The sequence below is a fragment of the Homo sapiens genome, chromosome 1, assembly GCF_000001405.40.
Source record: "Homo sapiens chromosome 1, GRCh38.p14 Primary Assembly".
Classification (NCBI taxonomy): domain Eukaryota; kingdom Metazoa; phylum Chordata; class Mammalia; order Primates; family Hominidae; genus Homo; species Homo sapiens.
In genome coordinates this window covers 110,330,542-110,352,003 of record NC_000001.11, presented here as the reverse complement: position 1 = coordinate 110,352,003, position 21,462 = coordinate 110,330,542, and the positions used below count along the sequence as shown (strand labels likewise).

The window sequence follows — 21,462 nt, the reverse complement described above, 5'->3', positions numbered from 1 at the left end:
GCTTTGAAAGTTCAGAATGGTCAACAACTATGAGCCCTAAAAAGAAATAAAATCTTTATTATTGTATTTAAATAAAAGAACAGTGCTGATCTCTGAACAGGAACATAGTTACAATCTGACAGAGAATCTGTGAAATGCTAAGTAACTTATTTTCTTTGGCATTTGAAGGAAATTTATTACTTTCCTCAGACAGGTAGTCAAATATTGATCAAATCACATCACTCTCTGCTTAAAAACCTACAATGTCTTCCCATAGCAATCAGCACTTAGAATACAATCCAAACCCTTTGTCTGGAGCCTAAAGGCCCTAATTTATAGCTTACCACCTCCTTTCTTCCACCAGACTGTAAGCTCCACAAGAAAAGAGAAAAACGTCTCTTTTTTTTTTTCACAAAGACACTCCCAAGATCTAGAATAATGTCTGATATATAATATGTACTCAAATATTTGAATAGTTCATTGGCTATACTTATCAAACACAAATGCAGTATAGATACTGTAATTCAAAATAATCATTTACAGGACAAAGATACACTCAACTTTACCTATAATGCCTTTGTCTCAATCCTATTGATAACTTAGGAGTAGTAGATATAGGTGATGGTCCATTAATGGAAATAAGTTTCATGTGTACACACTCAATCCCAGCATCACTTTCAATTTTAAGACTATAGTCACAGTATTTTTAGATAGACATCTGAAAACTCAAAGATACCTCAATCAGTTCCTGGCTGTGTATCCTTCAGTTAGTCACAAAACTTTTCTGGTGTCCCTTTAGCATTTCATAAACAAAACAGTGGCCCATCTTCAGGACTGTTATGAGGCAAAATTAAATAGTAATCTAGATTGAGTTTCTTGGAGAAATAATTACATGACTAGAAAACTGTTATGTTACTTAAGTGGCAATTTTAAGTAATAAATTCCATGGCAATTGCAGTTTTGTTCTCCTTGCCTGCTGCAACAGCTTTAAAGTTATCTTCTAGAAGCTCCTCTCAGTTTCTGAGACAACACAATTCTTTTTTTCCTATCTAGGCTTTTTTCCAGCACCATCTTCTCTTCCCATGCCTCAAATATGACATTATCCTAAGTTTACCTTAGTACTCTACTCTCTATGGGCCAGTGTTGCTCAACACATGGCCCACTGACCACAGAATATATCAGAATTACCTGAGGGGTTTGTAAAAGAACAAAGACTCCTAAGTCATGCTGGTCCTAACAAATTCCAGAATGTCTAGGGAGGTACCAAGGGCCTGTACATTTCCCAAGTACTGCCAATGTTCATAAACTATAGTTTGAAATCCATTGCCCATTTTTTCAGGTTTGCAGCTTTAATCTCATTCCTAGCCTCCACGAGTACGGTAACCAAGAGAGCCTTAGCTGGGACAAAGGCCTGGTTAGAACTGTGGCTCTATCACTAAACTGTCAAATTATGGTCTGTGGTGAGACTTAAATGAGACAATGTGTGTACAGTACTTGGCAGAATCCTTGGCTTGAAGTAGACAGTCAATAAATGACTGCTATCAATGTGCCCCAAATGATCTGTTTCCACTCTCCACCCCTCAAACTGGCCTACCCTTCAGGATTCCCTATTTTTGTTGACCCAATCATTTTACTAGTATTCCAGGCTTCAGTTTGCATCTTATCTTTCCCATCAATCCATAAGCTGCTATATTCTTACTTATGCTTGTCTGCCTGACACGTCCATCCCAATCTCTCTCCACCATTCCATGTCCTACTCTAACAAATTCTTTTGTAAAGCCTTTCTTGACCATCCCAGTTTCAAGTAACTTGTTCATATGCTCATTCATACACCTATATCACCCATAAAAATTCATTAGAGGCAGGGCGCAGTGGCTCGTGCCTGTAATCCCAACACTTTGGGAGGCTGAGGTGGGAGGATTGTTTCAGGCCAGGAGTTCGAGACCAGCCTGGCCAACGTGGTGAAACCCTGTCTCTACTAAATTACAAAAAATCAGCCAGGCGTGACAGCACACACCTATAATCCCAACTACTCAGGAGGCTGAGGCAGGAGAATCGCTTGAACCCCGGAGGCAGAGGTTGCAGTGAGCCAAAATCATGCCACTGCACTCCAGCCTGGGTGACAGGAAAAAAAAATCATTAGAAATTAACTATTCACCTGTTTAATAGTTTCTCCAATTAAGAGTACAAGTTGCTGAAGAGAATAGATTGATCAAAATAACTTATTTATTGCTAAGACCAAACTTGTCTGAGGTTTGAAGGAATTTTGTTATTCAATAAATTCCTCTGCCAAGATTTTAAAACTAGATAATTCAAGTTATTAAGTTAAAGGATCTTTAAACAGGGAAGCTCAAAAAGACTAAACTGAAATAGGAGATAGAGATGATGGTCAGAAGCCATAATCAGATATACTATTGTCAGAAGAAAAATAGATGCTCTATAAGCTGTAAACACTAAATATATTGCCTCAGATAAACAGCTTATAAACAATTATACAACTTAAGCTATGGAAGTGGCAATTTATAAAATTTGGGTTGTTTTACTGAAATCAGGGTAATCCTCATTTTCAATTTTAGTACTAACAACAAAGCTTTTCAAATCGAGCCCAAGTCAACTTGGAGGTGTTCCTGGAAGTAGTTCCTTTACAGAACCCTAAATTTAGATCATATGAAGGACACTGGGAAACCACACAAATACTTCAAAAGAGAAGTTTCCAATTTATAAAACCAGAACACTGAATCTAACACTCAGTCCAGTTAATTTTTTTCACAGTGCAGCTGGGAATAAATAAAATGATTTCATGAGTAATTTCAAAAAACTGTCATGCTGTGTACCTTCCCATTTTGTATGACATGGTTTTATACACAAATAAACAAATGCCCTGTCTGCAACTTTTTTTCCTTGTTCTTACTAGAGAGATGAAGCTTGAAACTTTAAAAAGATACCAGACATATAGAAATATGTAGAAAGTGTAACATAATCTTTCTAAATCTCCATAGTGATTTAAAATATTTGCTTACTAACTGGAAAAAACCACTCAGCAGGCTCATGGTGTGAACTAGCAAGAAAAAGAAAACACACTGAAAACTGACATTTCCAACAAGTATAAAATGTTTAAAGAAATGCAGGGGAGAGACCATTTAGAAAAGCCTCAGATGGCAGCCATCATCTCATAACCAGCTGTTTTAAAAATTCTTATGACACACTGAGAACCTGAAAAATTCCACTGTACTTCATTTTTTCCCTTTTACTATATCAAAGTATGGGTACATAAGCTGCCTAGCAAAACAATCCAAGGAGCTCTATCTTGTGGAAAAAGTAGCTAGTATAGATCAGCTATTGTAGTTACTAGATACTGGATGTCTTCCAGAAGAGATGAAAAAAATAACAATTCTATTCAAAAATTTTGATCCCATTTGAAATAAAGCAAGGAAACCTAAGTTGTATTATATACTAAAAAAGCTGGGCTTGTGATAAGTTGCCAAAGCTTCAAACTTGATTAATGTGGGGAAGAAGGGCTCAGAAGGCTGGTAAAACTAAATAAATACTGAAAATGTTAAGGGGAGACAAAAAAAAGCCAGACTTCTCAACACTGCTTATTAATTTCCCTAAAGTTAAGGTTGCCTAATTTTATAATCTCTCTGTGGGACAAAAAGAAAGAAAGAAAGAAAAAATCCTGGCTAAAATATGTATCATTCACAATCTGATGGCATACTTTTGTTGCTGTTATACACTGTAATGTCTTAACTCTGAAGTTTAGAAATCAGTATTCGTAAACAAGCAACGTTTTTACAGCAGTAAGTCCTCCTGCATCATTAAATCATGACTAAGGGTAAAGGCCAAGGTTAACAGCAAATGTCAAAATTTTAAAGGACATAAAGGCTATAGGTCCCAAATCCATAACCAAGATTTTAAAACTTTGGCTCCCACATTAAAAGTATTTTTTTAATGTTAAAAATAAATTTAAAAATATCAAGTAGAACAAAAGTTCTGACCTGAAATATGACACTTCGGTGAAGGAAGCTAGTAATGGCAGCAGAGTGCCTTAAGGCTTCCATCTAGAGAAACAGACCCAAAACATTAAAAGCCCTCACCCTATTAATTATAATGCATTTTGACCTCTAAAAACCCTCTTACCTGTTTACAAGAGTTTATACAGCTGTTTGCCACTGGAACACCACCTTGCAGAGTATAACCGTGGCATCCTTTGTTGATAATCACCTGTTGCCTAGCAATCATCATCCCGCATGGAGACAGACAGCACTAGGGCTCTTCCATCCGAGGTTAAAATTCAAAACAAGCCCAACAAGCCTGCATTTCAAGGTGGTCTTCGTCTGCAACTAGTTAAGTTTAAAACTGGCAAACAACAACAATGGTGTCTGAAGCCAATGGTGCAGCATTGCTGGCTTCCTCTTGAACTCCAGCGTTGTCACCGTGCACTGAAGTCTCCTGCTGCAAACAGGGGAGTTGTTCTCCTGTACTGGGAACAGGCTTCCAAAACTCAGGAGCCCCTCTGTACAGGATAATGCAGGAACTAAAGGCAAACATTTTTCCTCCTTAAGGATGCCTCCATCTTTTTCCTCACAATCTGTACTACCAACCGAAGTGACTGGGCCTGAGTGTGCGTTCGTACCTATGAAACCGTCACGGTGCATGCACATCCAAGGCATGTGGAACCAAAGGTCAAATAAGGCACAGATACCAAGTAACGGTTCTAATTACAAACGCTAGCTCTCAGGAACTCTTCATCCATTCAGAACTAAACCCATCACTGCATAACTCTGGTAAGAAGCCCCTGGAGACGGAGGAGCTCCTCAAATGTGTCAGGAAAGGCTTTATTAACATCATCATTAACATTTAAAAAGCAAACGGAGCATTTCTCCTTCTTTTGGCAATTTGGTGCAAATGTTAAGTGCAAGATAAAGCAATTTCAAACTTTTCTTCAAATTAAAAATGAAACTAAGGCCAAACGTGATGGGTGAACAAAATAAATCAAAACTTAAATTTCAGCAACTCCAGCTCTTCAAACCAGCAAAAGCCCCCGACTCAGGCACTGTGGTGAGGCTTAGGGTGCCTGCCCCGGCTTCTTGCGTGCCAGCAAACAGCACCATTTCCTCATCACGTTGAGAACCGAGAAGCAAATGATCCCCTTCACTGCAAACAAAGGGGGTCAACAGTAACACTAGTGATCCTTCAGAATTGACACACCGTGATAGTCAAAATGAAATTGATGGTCTCCCTGCTTCTTGCTCAAGACATACAAGATCTGAGCAGCAGCAAGCACCCCCTCGGCTGCAAACAAAGGGGTCAAAGGTTTGCCGTCAATTCACTTCCAGGCAGAAAAACATTTTCCTCAAAAGAAACAATTTATTTAGAATAAAACAAAAGCAGCTCAACTGTGAGCGCACGTTTGAGAGACAGCTACTCTTAAGCTGTGTGAGCCATAAAAAGGGTTTTTCTTTACTTTTCCAGAAATCTTGTGTACACAGCACAAATCAAAGAGGTCATTTTTTTTCCACTTAAAACACCGGCATTGGCATCACAATAGCAGATACACAACTTTAAGCTGCCATTTTAGTAAAATGCACAAATACTAAACAGATTAGCTTTCTTCCATCAGAGGCCCATGTAAACTCCACATAAGCCACAACTTCTCTTCAAAAAGGTCCATTAGAGCTTTGAATTCCATATCTTCATCCGCTGTTCAACCAGTTTTGCTTGCGGAGGGGGGGAAAAAAAGGTTATTCAGTACAAATGTTTACAATATTAAAAATATATATATTTCCCCTATGCCATTATAGATGAACATAACATTAACAAGACCTTCCTGGATGGTTCACCTCAACTTCAAAAAGCACCAATAATACCCACTGGCATAAACCTTGAAATGAATTTACTGTATGAATAGACATATAACAAGTAGAACAATAGGGTGGGTTTTTTTAAAGACTGCAATTGAAGATAACAGGACTGAAAATATCCTTTAACTCATGTAACTGAGTAAAACATGTTGAAAAAATTCAGAAAAAAGTTTCACAATCAATTTATAATCTATCAATATATTCTAAATATAACTTAAAAAGTGAAACTATAAAAAGGTAAAGTTTAGTCAAACTTTTGCCCCATCTATTTTCATTCTGTAATTTATATGGAGCAACATAGACTACTCCATTATTGTAGAAAGGGGTCGATACAAAGCCATTTAAAAATCCACCCTCATCTATGTTACCAAAGACAGCAGCCGTTATTTTAATAAAACACTCATACAAATAATTGTTAAACAGCCAAAGAACACTTCAGGAATCTCACTTTTCAACTCTGTTTAAACCATACATATAAAACTCTTCATTCAGCTTAACATTTCACTGTGGTTACCTGAAATCATTTCCTCCCTTTAGGGACACCACTATAACCACTATAACAGGGTCAGCGCCAAGTTTTCTCTCTTCTTGTTCTCATACCTAACTCCTATCTGAAAACCAAACCCTGTGAGAGAGACAGAAAAAAAAATGTCCAGAAATTCTCTCCAAAATTTTTTTCACATAAAAGGTCATTAAGGCCCTCTTCTCAAGAGGATTTCCTAATTCTGTTACCAGAGTTTTTGGTGATTGGTTCCTATATGGACCCAAACTATAGTTCAAGCTGTATATGCATAATGAACAATCTGCCTTAAAAAAGTGGATTTACATTTTTTATTTTTAAAAAAGCATTGTCAGTGAAAACCTGCTAATAGTTTTTAAATAAACCTAAACAATGTCTGACTCTGAAAGCAATAACCAAACACCTGACTCTTATTACTGGACCTAAAATGACCTGTAACTGAGTCAAGAAGGGCCAGAGTATATTTTACCTTCAAAAGGTGACAAATGCTTATAACCAGCCAGGCGATGGACATTTTAAGATGTAATCCTCAAAAGAAAAACTCTATCCACTCTCAGTTGAGAGTCAAAGTACACCAGAAATTTAAAACTTTGTGTGAAAAATTATTTATAGGAATCCCAACAAAATACTTAACCAAAAAGTTAAGCAGAACTATTGGCTAGGTATTGCTTGCTTAATTTTCCATAAAATTTGAAGCTGTGATCTAAAAGTCTTATCTTCACGTTTTTACCAATAATACTTAATAGTCATTAAATGATATCCTGAAGTTTTCTTTCCATTCATTTTAACTGAGTTCCAGAAAAATCAACTACATTAAAATAATTAAAGAAGAAAGATAGAAAAAAATTGGTTGTTACAAAGAACATTCAACGTTGGGATTATTAAATCCTGGCTAATGAGAAGTAGAACCGGTTTTAGACTTTTGCTTTCATTTGAATTCTTAAGGTTTAACTAGATACTTTATGGATATTATGAACCTGCACAAAAGAATGGGCAGTACAAATATGAGGTTCATGTGGACTATGGCACTCTGTAGGTAATGACCAACTAAACATAATTAGTTTTTTATAATACATACATTTAGAAATGGTATCAAGCCATTGTTTCAAAAACACTGAAGCACAAATTGCCCAGACCTAACAAAAGCGGCAATGTCAGGTAAAGATTCAAACAAACATGGAGCAAAAACACAGTACTCTTCTGTACGCTGTCACACTAACAAAAAACAAAAAACAAACAAAAAAAAAGAAAGTAAAAGAAAAGAAATAAAACACACATTTTGGATGACAGTAAAATTAGATGTCATGGACTTCACTCTCCAAAAGAGCAAAATCATTTGTCCAACTATCTCAACAAAAGATATTCAAAAATTAATGGTTAGTGAGTTTATTTAAACTGGAAAAATGTAGCTGGCCACAAATTATACTATGAGCCCACGTATGTAGACTCCACACTTGCATTAGTTTCTGAACAGGTGTCTACTCCAAACCAACCACAGCTTTTTGAAAGCAAGAAGCATCAAAAGTCTTCATTATAGGATTTCAGGTATTTTCCCAAGAGGCACAAGGACCTTCATGCTCATAGCCTAGAACCTTCCTTCTCTCAAAATGGCTAGTTTTTCCAGTTTAAAAACAAACAAACAAAAACCCCCACAAAACCTGCAAACTTAAAAAATTATAGATGCATAGTGAAAACCAAGAGGGATGACACAGCAGTGATGACACTTTTGTGCTGACATGCATTAGACACCTGTCATAATGGAAAATAAAAATTACATGACATTTCCCTGGGTTATTATTGGTGCTATTTCAAAACTACCAGCTTTGATAACAGAAAGAAAACAGTTGGGTTCTGCCAGGCTTCAAGTTAAGTCACTTTCATAGAACAGAAACATGACCATGATCCAGAAGGTCCAAAAGTCTCTAATCATAATTAAATATCAAGGGCCTTAGCTGAAGTCTTCAGCACTTAAATCAAGGGAGAAAAATATACTTACTAATGACCTGACAAATTAGGGGTGGGACAGAGGGGATAGATTAAAAAAAAAAAATCCATTACTGTTAAGCAGCAAAAGTCCTTGTTGAGAACCAGAGGTTGATATCATCTCACCTTTGAAAAAAAAAAAACTGTGAGGCTAAGTTAAATGATCCTGTATTAATTCCGGGTGTCTGGGAAAATAAAACAATTAAAAAAGGTTTTCCTACACTGACATTTCAATTCCGTAGCTGGACAGCAGTGAGAATATTGAACATAAAATTTCCAAGATGTTCAAAACATTTTCAATAATGTAATGTCACTACTGTTTAAATATGAAAATAAAAAGACAAGCAAAATTTTAAAAGAGCATGTCAAAGGCATTTTATGATGACTTTTTAAGAAATTCTGCAATCCAAATATGGCTGATTTAAATGCCCACTGAAATAAAAGATGACTATGAGCCTGCAGACAACTCTTCTTTCTATTATTGAAACCAGAAATTTGAATTGATACAAAAACAAAAACTCATCTTTGATGAAGAACACTTAGTTTCGAAATATGCACGATTAGAACTGTACCTGCTACACCTCTCTGAAAAAGTCAGTAAAAACACCACCACACACCAATAACTGACCAAAGAATTCTGATTTTAAAAGCACCTACTCACTTCTTGCATACTAGTGTAAGCATAAGACATATATGGTTTGTAACATAGTCCTTAATTTTTACTGAACAGTTACTGCTACAAACCAAAAGTGCATATATGGGATACAGAACTCTAGAACAAATGATTTAAAAAATGCATGTTAAAGCAAACTCTCTGGGAATAAACTGTATCTTAAGAAATACTCAAATACCTGATTAAAATAATTACATTGCTATACAATTTACCAGCATATCTTTGAGATCCCTGATCAAATTTCAGTCACACACATTTCTGGTAAAAGAATTATTTACCTACACACCAATCGAGTCATTTTTAGGTGGCTATTACTCTCTTTATATGGTCAGTGGACTCCTTTCTCCAAATTCTGACTTTTCAAAATTTTGGTTTTGTAACTCTGAGGATTTTTTAAGCTCAAGATTAAAAAAAAAACAACTGAATAGAGAAAAAAAATTACTCATAAGGGTGGGAACTCCTAATTAAAGCAAATCTGTCTGCCTGCCTGCTACCTTTAGGGCATCCCTTTCACTTAAAATAATAGCTAAACAAACAAAAAAATAGCTAAACTGTCCTGATTTCTATTTTAAAGACGTTTATAAAAATATAAAAAAGAAAATGCTACAACTAACAACTAAAAAGAAAATTGCATCTGATGCTGTATCCCATTACACATCACAAAACAGGAACCATGTCAAAGTAGTAAATACAAGTTACACATGGACTTTAGGACGCACCACGGACAATGATCATGACCAGGTAATCTTCTTCAGATTTGGCCAGTGCCTTGGCAGGGGAATCCAGGAACTGCTGGGAGAACTCACAAGGTGGGAAGGCATGAAGGACCCCGGTGTTTTCCTTGTCTTTGTTGCCCCCCACAGGGAGGCTGATCACCCCGGCTGCCTGCTTTTGCTTTAAATAGGACACAAGGTTCCTAAGTGGCCTCTGAGTAGAAGTGGCAGTGTCTGATGCAGCTGAGGAAGAGGAGGACCGGCTGTCAGAACTTCCAGGCACAGCCAAAAGAATGGCATAACCATTGGGCCCTGCTACTTTGATGCGTCGAGTTACTTCATCCAACTTGGGCTGGTCCAAACGGAGACGCTGAGTGATCTTGAGCTGGGCCACTTTGCCTCCAGTTGAACCCTCCACAAGAAGACTACTAGCCACTTGGAGGTCACCCTGCAACAGATGCATGTTGGAAGGAAAGTTGCTGTTCTTCAGTAGAAGCATGCCCTGCCAGGCCAAACAGAGTTTGGGAGAGGCTGATGCCACAGGGGCTGTCCCCCCATCCTGTTTCTGGGACGGGGACTTCAGCTTGGAGGAAGCAGTGCTGGTGCTAGGTGCACTCCCATCAGAGCGGTCTTCTTTTTTCAGAGGGCTTTTTCCCTCAGTGGGAGCAGTTGTCCGGTGCTTCCTATCTCGTTCAGCTGATGCAGAGTTTTTACGGTCTCGCTTGTCACCCTGGCTCTTCTCCAAACTACCTCGTCTGTCTCTGATTGGAGAGGGCCTTTCCAAGAGAAGACGGGAAGATCGATCATTGTCGCTGTTGTAACGATCCCGGCTACTGCTCAATTCTGGACTGCGGTCAGGAGAAGGAGCGCAGTGACGTTTTCGTGGGCGGTCACTCTCAGGAGACCTATCCAGATGACGTCCTCCACTCTCCTCAGGCAGCCTTCGCTTCCTAGGCTGGTCTCTGCTGCTGGGCAGATCTCGATCACCTCTGTCCCGGTCCAAGGACCAACCATCCCGCCTGCGATCTAGGCTATCCAGTGGCTCGTAAGCAGGCACAGAAGTAGCTGCAGTCCGAGTGCTGCGTTCTCGGACTGGGGGTGGGGGTGGCACCCAATCAGAGTCAGGATAAAGGTCCCTATCACGATCTCTGTATAGTAAGGGTGGTGTCCTATCCCGAGCACCCCTCAAAGGGTCTGGTGCCCGATGTCCAAAAGCATCTGTCACCAGCTCATAATGAGTCAAGGGCAGAGGCTGCAGATACTGCTGCTGGTAACGATGTTCGGTGTCGGCAAAGTCTACTCTAAGGCGTCGATCTGGGCCACCAAGTGGGAAGCCCCGCATATGGGTCCAGGCAGCATGCGCTGCATCCAGGCTTTCATACTGGATATATGCCCAACTATCACCTTTTCGGTAGTCTATGGTGCGTATGGTGCCAAATCGATCAAATTCTCGTGCCAGGGCAGCAAGAGGAACCCAAGGTCCCAGGCCTCCCACCCAGAGGCGGGTGGTGGGTGTAGCTTTACCATAACCAATTTTGATAGGATTCCGAATTATAATTTTGCCAGACATTGCTAATTTGGCCCGGTGAGACATATCTAAGTTCTCAAATTTGAGAAAGCCGTAAGTACTAGTCTGGCCGCGAGAAGGCCTCTTGATATCTACTTCTGTGATGACTCCAAAGCGATCAAACGCCCTTCTTAAATCACTCTCCGTTACAGTGATGTCTAGGTTGCCCAAGAAGAGCGTCCGGTTAGCTCGCTGATCATCCTCGGGTGAAATCTCATCCACTTCTCTGAAAGGAGCAGCACCTGCTCCAGCTCCCACCCTTGGCTCAAGACTGTATGCAGGGCGCACTCTCTCATAGAACGGGTAGTCTCTTTCTCTCTCCAGGTCTCGAGGCAATGGTGGCGGAGGTGGAGGGGGCAGGCGGCCAAGAGCCAACTGCTGCAGCCGGTAGTCTCTGTATCCCAAAGCAGCGCCACCAGGGGAAAGTGATCTCTGGCCTCCACCACCTCCAGGGGGGTGCCGGTGACCACCTACAGAGGCCCCGACCACACTGGCTGATGGAGGATAAGTATCTTTGTCTAAAGGGGAGCGGCTGCGGCGCCGGCTCACATACACAGCTTCTATCTTCAGAGGCCGGTCATAGAGCACCAGGCGGCCTCTGGCATGCTTGGCCGCCCGCGCGTCCTCTGGCCGCCGGAAGTTCACAAAGGCTACCCGCTCATCCCCGCTGCCAGAACCCGACAGATGACTGATTTTCACACTTACATCACCGAAGCGTTTGAACTCATGAAACAGGCCGTCCTCCACCGCTTCGTCACTAAGCTGGGACCCCAACTCGCTTATCTTCAGAGTCTTGTATTCCGCGCCGTCCCCGCCGCCGGGAGCTGAGGAGGCGGCCCCAGAGGAACGTGACTCCCCGCCTCCACCCCGGGAGCTGCTGCGCGATTCGCCCCCGCCCGAAGAATTTTTGGTGCTCGGGGAGCTATAACTATGCAAGCGGCTACTGGAGCTGCCCCCACCGGTATCATACTCGCGGCTGCCACCTCGACTGCTGGACTTGTCCAGGTGGAGACTCCGCCGCGACCCACCGCCGCTATCGGTCTTTCCGCTGCTGCTCCCATTGCTGCCACCAGAGCCCCCTAACTTCTTGCTCCGCTCACCGCGGGAAGTCGAGTCCTCACCACCACGGGAGCGTTTGGCCTTCACTGGCGAGCGCTCTTTTCCCTTCATTGTTGCGGGTCGTCGGAGGTCGTCTCCGCGGAGCTGAGTAACCCGCCGCCCCGCGCTCGTTTCACACAGCGGAACCGCACGCCGCCATCTTGGACTCCGCCGCGGCACAGGGTCCCGCCCCGCAGTCCTCATTGGCCAATTGCTCTCTCTTCTACAGTCTCATTGGGAAAATTATTTGTCTATCTTTACATCTCCCCGCGCTCCAGGAAGGCGCCCGCCCAACCACTGTTATTGGGTTCCCAACCCCCTAGTCGGAGTACCTCATTGGTTACATTTGTTGTCTATCTTAACGGTTCCTCGCGCCAGACTGTAGCTCCGCCCCTCGCACTCTGCGGTCACGTGACCCAAAGTGTTGAGGTGTTGATTGGACAAAAAGTCTGCCCTGTAACGGTACTTCTTGCTCAGTGACAGCAGCAACCCACCTCCTTATCCCTTTCATTGGCTTATAAACCCGTCCTTTAAACCACTATTTGGGAGGTCGGGCCATCAGTTTCGGCGTTTTTTCCAGAGAGGCAGGCTCACAGCGATATCGCGAGAGACGGTAAGCTCCCTCTTTCGACCCCCTTTTTCCAACTCCTCCGGCGGCTAAAAGAAGTTTAAATCTGATTGGATGTCGGCAAGGAAGTTGATAGGCTGAAATAACTGTCCATCACTCGCTTAAAGGGGTAGGCCTGTATAACGGAGGAGGCTGACTGAAGGTGAAAGACTAGAACACGTGCTTGCTGTGCGACGTCACTTAGATGTCGCGAGAGGGTGACTGTGCGCCAGCCCCGCCTCCCCGCGTTTTCGGCGTTCTCCCCACAAACATTTGTTAAGTTCCGTGGGGTGTTTGGCTGTGCTTCGGCCCTTGGAGTTCGAAACTTCTGAGCTCCCCGCCGTCGTACCTGTGCCGGCCAAGGGGCGGGGCAGGCTTTCCGGCTGTCGGGGCCCTCCAGTCCCTCAGGAAGCCGTCCTGGGACGCCTAGCGGACACCATTTTACGTCGCTGTGGTAGCTGAGTGAACAGCCGGGGGGAGCCCCGCCCCCCGCGCGCGGGAGAGCGCCGCCCGCGGTCACCTGGGCCCGCGGGGCAGAGAGTTCACGGTTCCTGCAGCCTCGGGTCATGCTGACGCCCCCGGGCGGTGCTAACACGTAACACGCGGGACCTCGAGAGCTAAGAAGCAGGGCGACTAAGACGCAGCCCTCGCCCAGGAGCCCGTCTCTCCCGCGAGCTACCCGTTCCCGCCCAAGTACTCCGGGTAACCGAGGGGAGTGACCGTCGCTCCCCGCCTCGTGGCCCGCGGGCGGAGCCGGAACTGTCGGGACACCGCGGACGTGTCTTTGGGCGGCATGTTTTATGTTGCGAATCTGTGTGGATTTTTAAATTCTGTATTCCCCTAAAATAGCAGTGTTTTTAATATGTAATGCTTCTACCCTGAAAATCACCAAGCGAAATTTAGGCTCCATGCAGATATGTCACTTGTTTTTCCCCCTGTGGCTTCTTGTATCCCTTGGCACTCTTATTGTGTGTTAAAAGCCAGCAGCACAGGCACCTTGCGGCCGCTCCAGATCCACCTCGTTTGGCTCCTTCAGTCGTTCGCCGTACAACTTTCCTTTCCATAGTGCGTTACTGTGGCGGACAGAGCACCTGTGAGAGGTGCAGGCGATGCCGAGCTTAGGGGGGTATGGCCTGTGCCCCAGCACTCGCCGGTTGCTGGAGGGACGCAGCGCTGAGGTCACCACAGCCTTTAGACTGTCTGCAGCCCTCCCAGGTTCGCGCCGGGGCGGAGGTTATGAGGATTCTTGTATTGATCCGGTCCTCAACCCTATTTCCCAAGATCCAATCTATAGTAGAGGGTGTGAGGTGTTTTTAAACGTGACATTTTTCAAGGTAACAATAATATCCCAAAAGCTGAAACCTAAACTTAAAAACTGTGTTAAGATTAGGGACTGTAACCTAAATTTAGCCTTGGCTGAGCCATCCTTCTTTTTGTAAATAATCGTGAGGAATGTGAAGCTGGAGGCCTTCTATCTCTTGATTAGATCAAAGAAACTCGAAGGAAGAAGCTCAATTGTAAAGCATAAAAATCCACAATATTGTAATGTGTAGACATCTTCATTGTATTAAAATGGGAAATAAAACTTCATAAGGCATAAAATAATGTGTATAATACGCTACCATTTGTGGTTTTAAAAATGTTTGTATTTATGAGTATGTACATTTAAAAAATATATTTTCATGGAAACTTTCTTGACAAATACACGGGAAATTGTTACTAGGATTGCCCTGAAGAGGTGTGCGAGGGTCTGGAGTAGGAGGGAGACTTTACTTTTCTTTGTAGAAATCTTTTGTTTCTACAAAGGGCGCTATTACTCCTTCAGTTTAAAAAATAACATTTTTAACTTTCCTTAAACTATTTTTATGGAAAAAGTTTAAAATATATAAAAGAATACTTTAAAGAACTCCCATGTGTACCCAACACCCTATTTCAGCAATTATCAAATCATGTCAATCTTGTTTCATCTGCATCACTCTTCCCACTCTTCTTTTCTCCATTATTTTCTTCCAGACTTACCTGATACATTTCCTGCCCCAGTTGTGGAATCAGCCATTTCTCCAGAGAGCTCTGGTTCCTTTTAGTGGGAGATGGTATTTAAAGATAAAAATCTGGATGCTGGAGGATAAAAAACACATGAACACATTATTTGTAAAAGCATGAAATAAAAAGTTATAGCTGGGTTTAAATCTGTTTCAAGGTTATATTAATAGACCACAAATGGAAATTGAAGTTAAGCCATTATCTGATTACTCAATGTAATAACCAATCGAGATAATAAACCAGGCACCAGAGTGACTTTTTAACCTAAATAGACCTGCTAAGGTGACTCACTGATCAAAGAAAAAGATAATGACCAAATCAGTAGTTTTCCAAACTTCAAGATAGGGGTTGAGGGAGCACAAGATTTGAGAGAAATAATTCAGGGAGATAAACAGACACCCAGTCTGTGTGAACATGCACCAGAGGCATGCCAAGTTTAGTGGCTTGCCACTTCAAATACCAGGGAGCTTGATGGAAGCTACTGCCTGCAGCTGGCTATAGTACAAAGGCTTGCCTAGGGGGACTGGAAATCTGCCTGGAGCCAAGAGTGCTAGTAAGTTTTATGGTTAGATGGAAAAGGCCTAGATTCCATTAAGAGTAACAGCCAAAATATTGCCTGTGATGTGTATGTGTGTGTGTGTGTGTGTGTGTTTCCACAACAAATGAATAAGTTGGATCCATGCTGTAGTTAAAATAAGTGATTGTTTTCATTTCCTTTGTGTTATTGCCCCCAAAATTACCCCCTCCCCTGGCTTCCAGCAGATACTACCTGAAAATCCTTTGTGTTCTTTAAAGCAGTGGTCCCCAAACTTTTTGGCATCAGGGACCAGCTTCATGGAACTGTTCCACCTCAGATCATCAGGCATTAGATTATCATAAGGAACACACAACCCACATCCCTCACATACTCCATTCACAATAGGGTTAGCCCTCCTCTGAGAATCAAATGCCTCTGCTGATCTGTCAGGAGGCAGAGCTCAGGCAGTAATGCTCCCTCCCCTGCCCCTCACCTGCTGTGCAGCCAGGTCCTAACAGGCAACTGACCATTACTGGTCCACAGCCTGGGGTCTGGGAACCCCTGCTTTAAAGCATAAAGCTGCTTAGTGAGTTTTTTATTTTTTTTGTTTTTTCTTTTTTGTTGTTTTGTTTTGTTTTTGTTTTTGTTTTAGAGACAGGGACTTGCTCTGTCACCCAGGCTGGAGTGTAATGGTGCAGTCATAACTCACTGCAACCTCAAATTCCTGGGCTCAAGCAATCCTCCCGATTCAGCCTTCCATGTAGCTAGGACCACAGGCACACACCACCACACTAAGCTAATTTTTTAATTTTTTGTAGCAATGGGGTCTAGCCATGTTGCCCAGGCTTATCTCAAACTACTGGCCTCAAGTGATCCTCCTATCTCAGCCTCCCCAAAGCACTGGGATTACAGATGTGAGCCACTGCACCCAACCAAGTTAGGTTTTATCCTCTGTTTACATGTGTGCTTTAGAGAGGGCACATGTGTAAAAGTGGATAAAAGTGACCCATGGTTTAGTTGGCCAGGACTTTGAACCCTTCTTTTGCTGTTGCTGTTGGAATTGTTAAGGTGCAACCTGAGCTTTCATTTGATCTCTTTGTGATCAATGGCCAGATTTGTGAGGAGAGCTGACCTAGGTGAGGAGGATTTTCGGTGGTCATGAAAACAGGGCTGGACAAAGTGGCTCACGCCTGTAATCCCAGCACTTTGGGAGACCAAGACGGGTGTATCACTTGAGGTCAGGAGTTGGAGATCAGCATGGCCAACATGGTGAAACCCCACCCCGTGTCTCTACTAAAAATACAAAACTTAGCCAGGCCTGGTAGCAGATGCCTGTAATCCCAGCTACTCGGGAGGCGAAGGCAGGAAAATCGCTTGAACCCAGGAGACAGAGGTTGCAGTGAGCTGAAATGGTGCCACAGCACTCCGGCCTGGACGACAGATCAAGACTGTCTCAAAAAAGAAAAAAATGAAAGAAAACAGAGTTAAGTTACCAGCAGATTCCCTGAGCATCAGAGCAGCTCTGTAAGGATAGTAAAAAAAAAAACAAAACCACTGAATTGTATACTTTATTTATTTATTTATTTATTTATTTGATGGAGTGTTGATCAGTTGCCTAGGCTGGAGTGCAGTGATGCAATCTCAGCTCACTGAAGCCTCCACCTCCCGGGTTGAGGTGATTCTCCTGCCTCAGCCTCCAAAGTAGCTGGGATTACAGGTATGCACAACCACGCCCAGCTAATTTTAGAATTGTGTATTTTAAATGCATAAACTTTATGGTATATAAATTAAGCTTAATAAAGATTGAAAACATACTGGCATCTTAAACTTATGTGTATGTTTTCAATCAAATGTCCTCTTTCCACCCTCATCTTTCCTAGGTTTTATTGTTTGTGTATCCTCAATATACGCACAAAATATTACAACTGCAATATGAAATTTATCTTGAGAGTTGAGAGCCATCCAATTTCCTGGCAGATGCAAAAAAGAGGCTAAAGCTGGGAATTGAAAATTTTTTCCTATCCATGATAGCAGATTAAAATTTTCTATTTCATCTTCCTTCATAAAATGAGTGGTGTCTTGACAGTGAGGTTTATGTTGTTTGGTCTCCAGAAAAAGTGTATCTTTTTACCCTTAGGCAAATATTAAGTCCCACAAGTAGCAAACAAGCATTCAGGACCCAGTTTGTGTTACAAAATCACTATTTGTGGTCTGTGAGGGTTTTTTTTAACAGCTTTATTAAGATATAATTTATATACCATAAAGTTTACCCACTCAAAGTAATACAATTCAGGGGGTTTTAGTATCCTTACAGAGCTGTCCATGTGGTTCCTCCTTTAATATTGTTATAGAAAGCACTCTGCTATAACTTTTTCATGACTAAGCTGTAATATAATTATCTCTTTTATTTATTTAGACACCTTATAGGGTAGTGATTAAGAGTACAGACTCTGGAGGCTGCGAGCCTGGATTAAATCCCAGCTCTGCTATGGGCCTCAGAAGAGTTACTGGTAACCTCTCTGGGCCTTGGTTTTCTCCTCACAGGGAAAATTAAATGGGTTAAACTATATAAAGAGCTTAGCACAGTGCCTGGCACATGGTAAGCACTATATAAATGATTGCTATTATTAATATATTTTCTCTTTGAACTTGGGTACATAGAATTGGATTAATTGTAATCTTTAATTCATGGTATACAATCATCAATGGTCCATATATGGGCCATTCAATGTTTATTATTTATTAATAACATAATGAATATCCCTGAACCCAGCACTCAATCCAGCACTCAAACAAATAGAAAATTATCAGTAATTTACATCTACCTAAATGCTGCTCCTCTATCCTGTCTACTGCCCATCTTCATAGATATCCTGAATCTAGCATTTAACAATCCTTGCCTTGTAAAGGAATTTTTAAAGGAATTTTAAAGAGTTCACGTGTGTGTGCTTGCACATGTGTGCACACACATACTTTAAAAGTATATTCTTTTCATTTCGGTTGTTTTTGAACTTTATACAAACGTGTATTCGAACAACACACTATATATAATTCCTGAGATTTGCATTTTTCATTTATTGTGTTACTATGATTCTTGCATGTTATCATACATAGTAGCTATAGTTTATTTCCATTGTTGTAAAATATTCCATTATATTGAATATACTACTACTTATATATCCATTCTTCTTTTGATTTGGGCTATGAGTATTTTTTACTTTTTGTGCTATTATGAAGAGTGCTTGATATAGTTTGAATGTTGTCCCCTCTAATCTCATGTTGAAATGTTATCTTCAGTGTTGGTGGTGGGGCCTGGTGAGAGGCATTTGGATCATGGGGGAGGATCCTTCATGGCTTGGTGCTGTCCTCGTGATAGTGAGTGAGTTCTCCAGAGTTCTGGTTGTTTAAAAGTATATGTCACTCCACTCTCTCTCACTCCCACTCTCACTATGTGATATGCTGGCTCCCCCTTTGCCTTCTGCCATGATTGTAAGCAGGCCAAAACCTCACCAGAAGCTGAGCAGATGTCAGCACCATGCTTCCTGTACAGCCTGCAGAACTATGAGCCAGTTAAAACCTCTTTTCTTTATAAATTACCCCAGTCTTGTGTATTCCTTTATAGCAACGCAGAATGGCCTAATGCAGTGCTATGATGAAGATTCTCATTCATATGTCCTGAGGCACACATGCAAGAATTCCCCTGGGATAGGATGGAGAGGTGAAGGATACCTAGGAGTGGAATTACTGGATTAAAAAGTTATATTGAAGCTGGCCTGTAACCCCAGCTACTCAGGAGGCTGAGGTGGACAGATCACTTGAGCCCAGGAGTTCAAGGCCAGCCTGGGTAATATAGTGAGACCCTCCCTGTCTCTTAAAAAAAAAAAAAAAAAAAAAAAGGTTATATTGAATATTCAATTTCACAGGATAATGTCAAATTGTTTTCTAAAGTGGTGTTTAGCAATTTACAGTCTCATCAGTAGTGTATAAGAGATCTTATTGATCCACGTCACTAACATTTTATAACTTTTTTTAATCAAATGGACATAAAATAGCATGTCTCTGTGGTTTTGATATTTTATTTCCTTGATTACTAGTGAGGTTGCATATCTCTTTATAAGTTTACTGGCCATATATATTTCTTCATCTATGAAATATCTACTCATGTATTTTGCTCCTCTATTGAATTGTATGTTTCTTATAGGTGTATGAGTTTTTCACATGTTCTTGATCCTAATCCTTTATTATAGAGTGTATGTATGGCAAACATCTTTTTCTAGTTGTGGCTTATCTTTTCACACAATTTAAGCTGATATTTAAGATACAAATTCTTAATTTAAATAAGATTGAATTTATCAACATTTTATAGTTAGCACTTTCTGTATCTTGTCTAAGAAATCCTCATCACTTTCCCCAACCCTGCCACCAGTATTTGACTATATTAAATTTTTGTTCTTTCTTATAAATTATAAGGCAGAGTGGTTCATACCTGTAATCCCAGCACTTAGGGAGGCAGAGAGGGGAGGATAGCTTGAGCCCAGGAGTTTGAGATCTGCATGGGCAACACATAGCGAGACCCTGTTCTCCACAAAAAGGAAAGAAAAAGACAAAAAAAAGTCTCCCTATAAAAAAATTATTTTTCCTTATTAAAAAAGTATTTCAGTGAATATGGATTTTTTCATTTAATTAGGTCTTATTTCGTTTCCTTCAGCAAAATTTGTATACTTGATGAATACTCTTGCATCTCTTTTAGTATGGTTCGTAACTATTGGTAATGGTGTCTTTTTAAATTAAATTATGCTTTTTATTTGTCTGTTGTCAGGATTCGAAATACAGGCCCTTGCTAAATTTTTTTTTTTTTTTGAGACAGGGTCTCACTCTGTTGCCCAGGCTGGAGGGCAGTGGTGTGATCACGGCTCACTGCAGCCTCGACCTCCCAAGGCTCAGGTGATCCTCTCACCTCAGTTTTTGTATTTTTAGTGGAGATAGGGTTTCACCATATTGCCCAGGCTGATCTTGAACTCCTGGGCTCAAGCAATCTCCCCACCTTGGCTTCCCAAAGTGCTGGGATTACAAGCATGAGCCATTGTGCCTGACCCCCTTTTAGTTTTTTATGTAGGCAGTCATATCATCTACAAATAGTAAGAATATTTCTTCCTTTCTAATCCTTATGATTTTGCTTTTCTGGTGTTACTGTGCTGACTTTGACTGATAGAATCTTTGATAGAATGTTACATAGAAAGAATGATGGTGAGCACTATTATTCCTTATTTTATTTTATTTTTATTTTTTGAGACAGAGTTTCACTCTCGTTGCCCAGGCTGGAGTGCAATGGCATGATCTTGGCTCACTGCAACATCTGCCTCCTGGGTTCCAGTGATTCCCCTGCCTCAGCCTCCTGAGCACCAACAGGTCTGTCTAATTTTTTCTATTTTTAGTGAGGAGAGAGGCCATTTCTCCTCCTGTCCCGTCTCCAAAGAAAAGGAGGAAGTAAAAACTGAAAAATAACAGACTGATCGGCGCCACTGGCCAGGCCTGTAGGTTAAAGATTAACCCTCACCCTGGCCAGGCATGGTGGCTCGTGCCTGTAATCCCAGCACTTTGGGAGGCCGAGGAGGGCGGATCACGAGGTCAGGAGATCGAGACCATCCTGGCTAACATGGTGAAACCCTGTCTCTACTAAAAATACAAAAAAAATTAGCTGGGCGTGGTGGCAGGCACCTGTAGTCCCAGCTACTCGGGAGGCTGAGACAGGAGAATGGCGTGAACCCGGGAGGCGGAGCTTGCAGTGAGCCGAGACTGTGCCACTGCACTCCAGCCTGGGCAACAGAGCAAGACTCTGTCTTAAAAAAAAAAAAAAAAAGATTAACACCCACCCTAACTGCTCGTGCTATCTATAGATCA

The 21,462-nt window shown here is 41.6% G+C and overlaps 2 protein-coding genes and 1 long non-coding RNA gene across 4 annotated transcripts in view, besides 9 other annotated features; 1 reads left to right on the top strand and 2 right to left on the bottom strand.

The window, feature by feature from the left end:
* Nucleotides 1–5,326: 5,326 nt before the first annotated feature.
* Nucleotides 5,327–12,627, bottom strand: RBM15 (RNA binding motif protein 15). Of its 2 annotated transcripts, NM_022768.5 has the most exons (3): nucleotides 9,736–12,627; nucleotides 6,355–6,465; nucleotides 5,327–5,696 (listed from the first exon to the last, which is right to left on the bottom strand). In NM_022768.5, exons 1-2 carry the CDS (start codon nucleotides 12,596–12,598, stop codon nucleotides 6,395–6,397), a joined length of 2,934 nt encoding a protein of 977 aa, NP_073605.4. In that variant the 5' UTR covers nucleotides 12,599–12,627; the 3' UTR covers nucleotides 5,327–5,696; nucleotides 6,355–6,394. The 2 variants fall into 2 exon arrangements, with proteins under 2 accessions (NP_073605.4, NP_001188474.1); NM_001201545.2 differs by lacking the exon at nucleotides 6,355–6,465.
* Nucleotides 10,233–10,798: an enhancer, noted in NCBI's record as "H3K27ac-H3K4me1 hESC enhancer chr1:110883828-110884393 (GRCh37/hg19 assembly coordinates)". NCBI's record gives its function as "activates a minimal SCP1, AML or CMV promoter by ChIP-STARR-seq in primed H9 embryonic stem cells {active_cell/tissue: H9 hESC(primed)}" and the evidence as "EXISTENCE:reporter gene assay evidence [ECO:0000049][PMID:30033119]".
* Nucleotides 10,423–10,717: an enhancer, noted in NCBI's record as "tiled region #11911; K562 Activating DNase matched - State 2:TssF, and HepG2 Activating non-DNase unmatched - State 2:TssF". NCBI's record gives its function as "activates a minimal TATA promoter and a strong SV40 promoter by Sharpr-MPRA in K562 cells, with weak activation in HepG2 cells {active_cell/tissue: HepG2 | K562}" and the evidence as "EXISTENCE:reporter gene assay evidence [ECO:0000049][PMID:27701403]".
* Nucleotides 11,460–12,198: an enhancer, noted in NCBI's record as "H3K27ac hESC enhancer chr1:110882428-110883166 (GRCh37/hg19 assembly coordinates)". NCBI's record gives its function as "activates a minimal SCP1, AML or CMV promoter by ChIP-STARR-seq in naive H9 embryonic stem cells {active_cell/tissue: H9 hESC(naive)}" and the evidence as "EXISTENCE:reporter gene assay evidence [ECO:0000049][PMID:30033119]".
* Nucleotides 11,460–12,288: a biological region, named in NCBI's record as "H3K27ac hESC enhancer GRCh37_chr1:110882428-110883166".
* Nucleotides 11,639–12,088: an enhancer, noted in NCBI's record as "active region_1470". NCBI's record gives its function as "activates an Ori minimal core promoter by ATAC-STARR-seq in GM12878 lymphoblastoid cells {active_cell/tissue: GM12878}" and the evidence as "EXISTENCE:reporter gene assay evidence [ECO:0000049][PMID:35858748]".
* Nucleotides 12,169–12,288: an enhancer, noted in NCBI's record as "active region_1469". NCBI's record gives its function as "activates an Ori minimal core promoter by ATAC-STARR-seq in GM12878 lymphoblastoid cells {active_cell/tissue: GM12878}" and the evidence as "EXISTENCE:reporter gene assay evidence [ECO:0000049][PMID:35858748]".
* Nucleotides 12,319–12,618: an enhancer, noted in NCBI's record as "active region_1468". NCBI's record gives its function as "activates an Ori minimal core promoter by ATAC-STARR-seq in GM12878 lymphoblastoid cells {active_cell/tissue: GM12878}" and the evidence as "EXISTENCE:reporter gene assay evidence [ECO:0000049][PMID:35858748]".
* The window catches only part of RBM15-AS1 (RBM15 antisense RNA 1), a 52,797-nt gene continuing 44,167 nt past the window's right edge, over nucleotides 12,833–21,462 (top strand). The window contains exon 1 of the long non-coding RNA NR_036595.1: nucleotides 12,833–13,007. This is a non-coding gene — a long non-coding RNA (RBM15 antisense RNA 1). The remainder of the gene's footprint in view (nucleotides 13,008–21,462) is intronic.
* On the bottom strand, nucleotides 13,001–17,739 carry LOC124904276 (uncharacterized). The gene has a single exon (XM_047437983.1). The coding sequence runs from the start codon at nucleotides 13,567–13,569 to the stop codon at nucleotides 13,063–13,065; it is 507 nt and encodes a 168-aa protein (XP_047293939.1). The 5' UTR covers nucleotides 13,570–17,739; the 3' UTR covers nucleotides 13,001–13,062.
* Nucleotides 13,389–13,658: a silencer, noted in NCBI's record as "silent region_1173". NCBI's record gives its function as "represses an Ori minimal core promoter by ATAC-STARR-seq in GM12878 lymphoblastoid cells {active_cell/tissue: GM12878}" and the evidence as "EXISTENCE:reporter gene assay evidence [ECO:0000049][PMID:35858748]".
* Nucleotides 13,759–13,948: an enhancer, noted in NCBI's record as "active region_1467". NCBI's record gives its function as "activates an Ori minimal core promoter by ATAC-STARR-seq in GM12878 lymphoblastoid cells {active_cell/tissue: GM12878}" and the evidence as "EXISTENCE:reporter gene assay evidence [ECO:0000049][PMID:35858748]".

Bases quoted from the DNA above. Each gene is read 5' to 3' on its own strand.
- RBM15 (NM_022768.5), bottom strand. From the start codon at position 12,598: ATGAGGACTGCGGGGCGGGACCCTGTGCCGCGGCGGAGTCCAAGATGG. The intron at 6,466-9,735 runs GTGCGTCCTAAA...TCTCTCTCACAG, and splicing joins GGTCATGATCATTGTCCGTG to GGTTTGGTTTTCAGATAGGA.
- LOC124904276 (XM_047437983.1), bottom strand. From the start codon at position 13,569: ATGACCCGAGGCTGCAGGAACCGTGAACTCTCTGCCCCGCGGGCCCAG.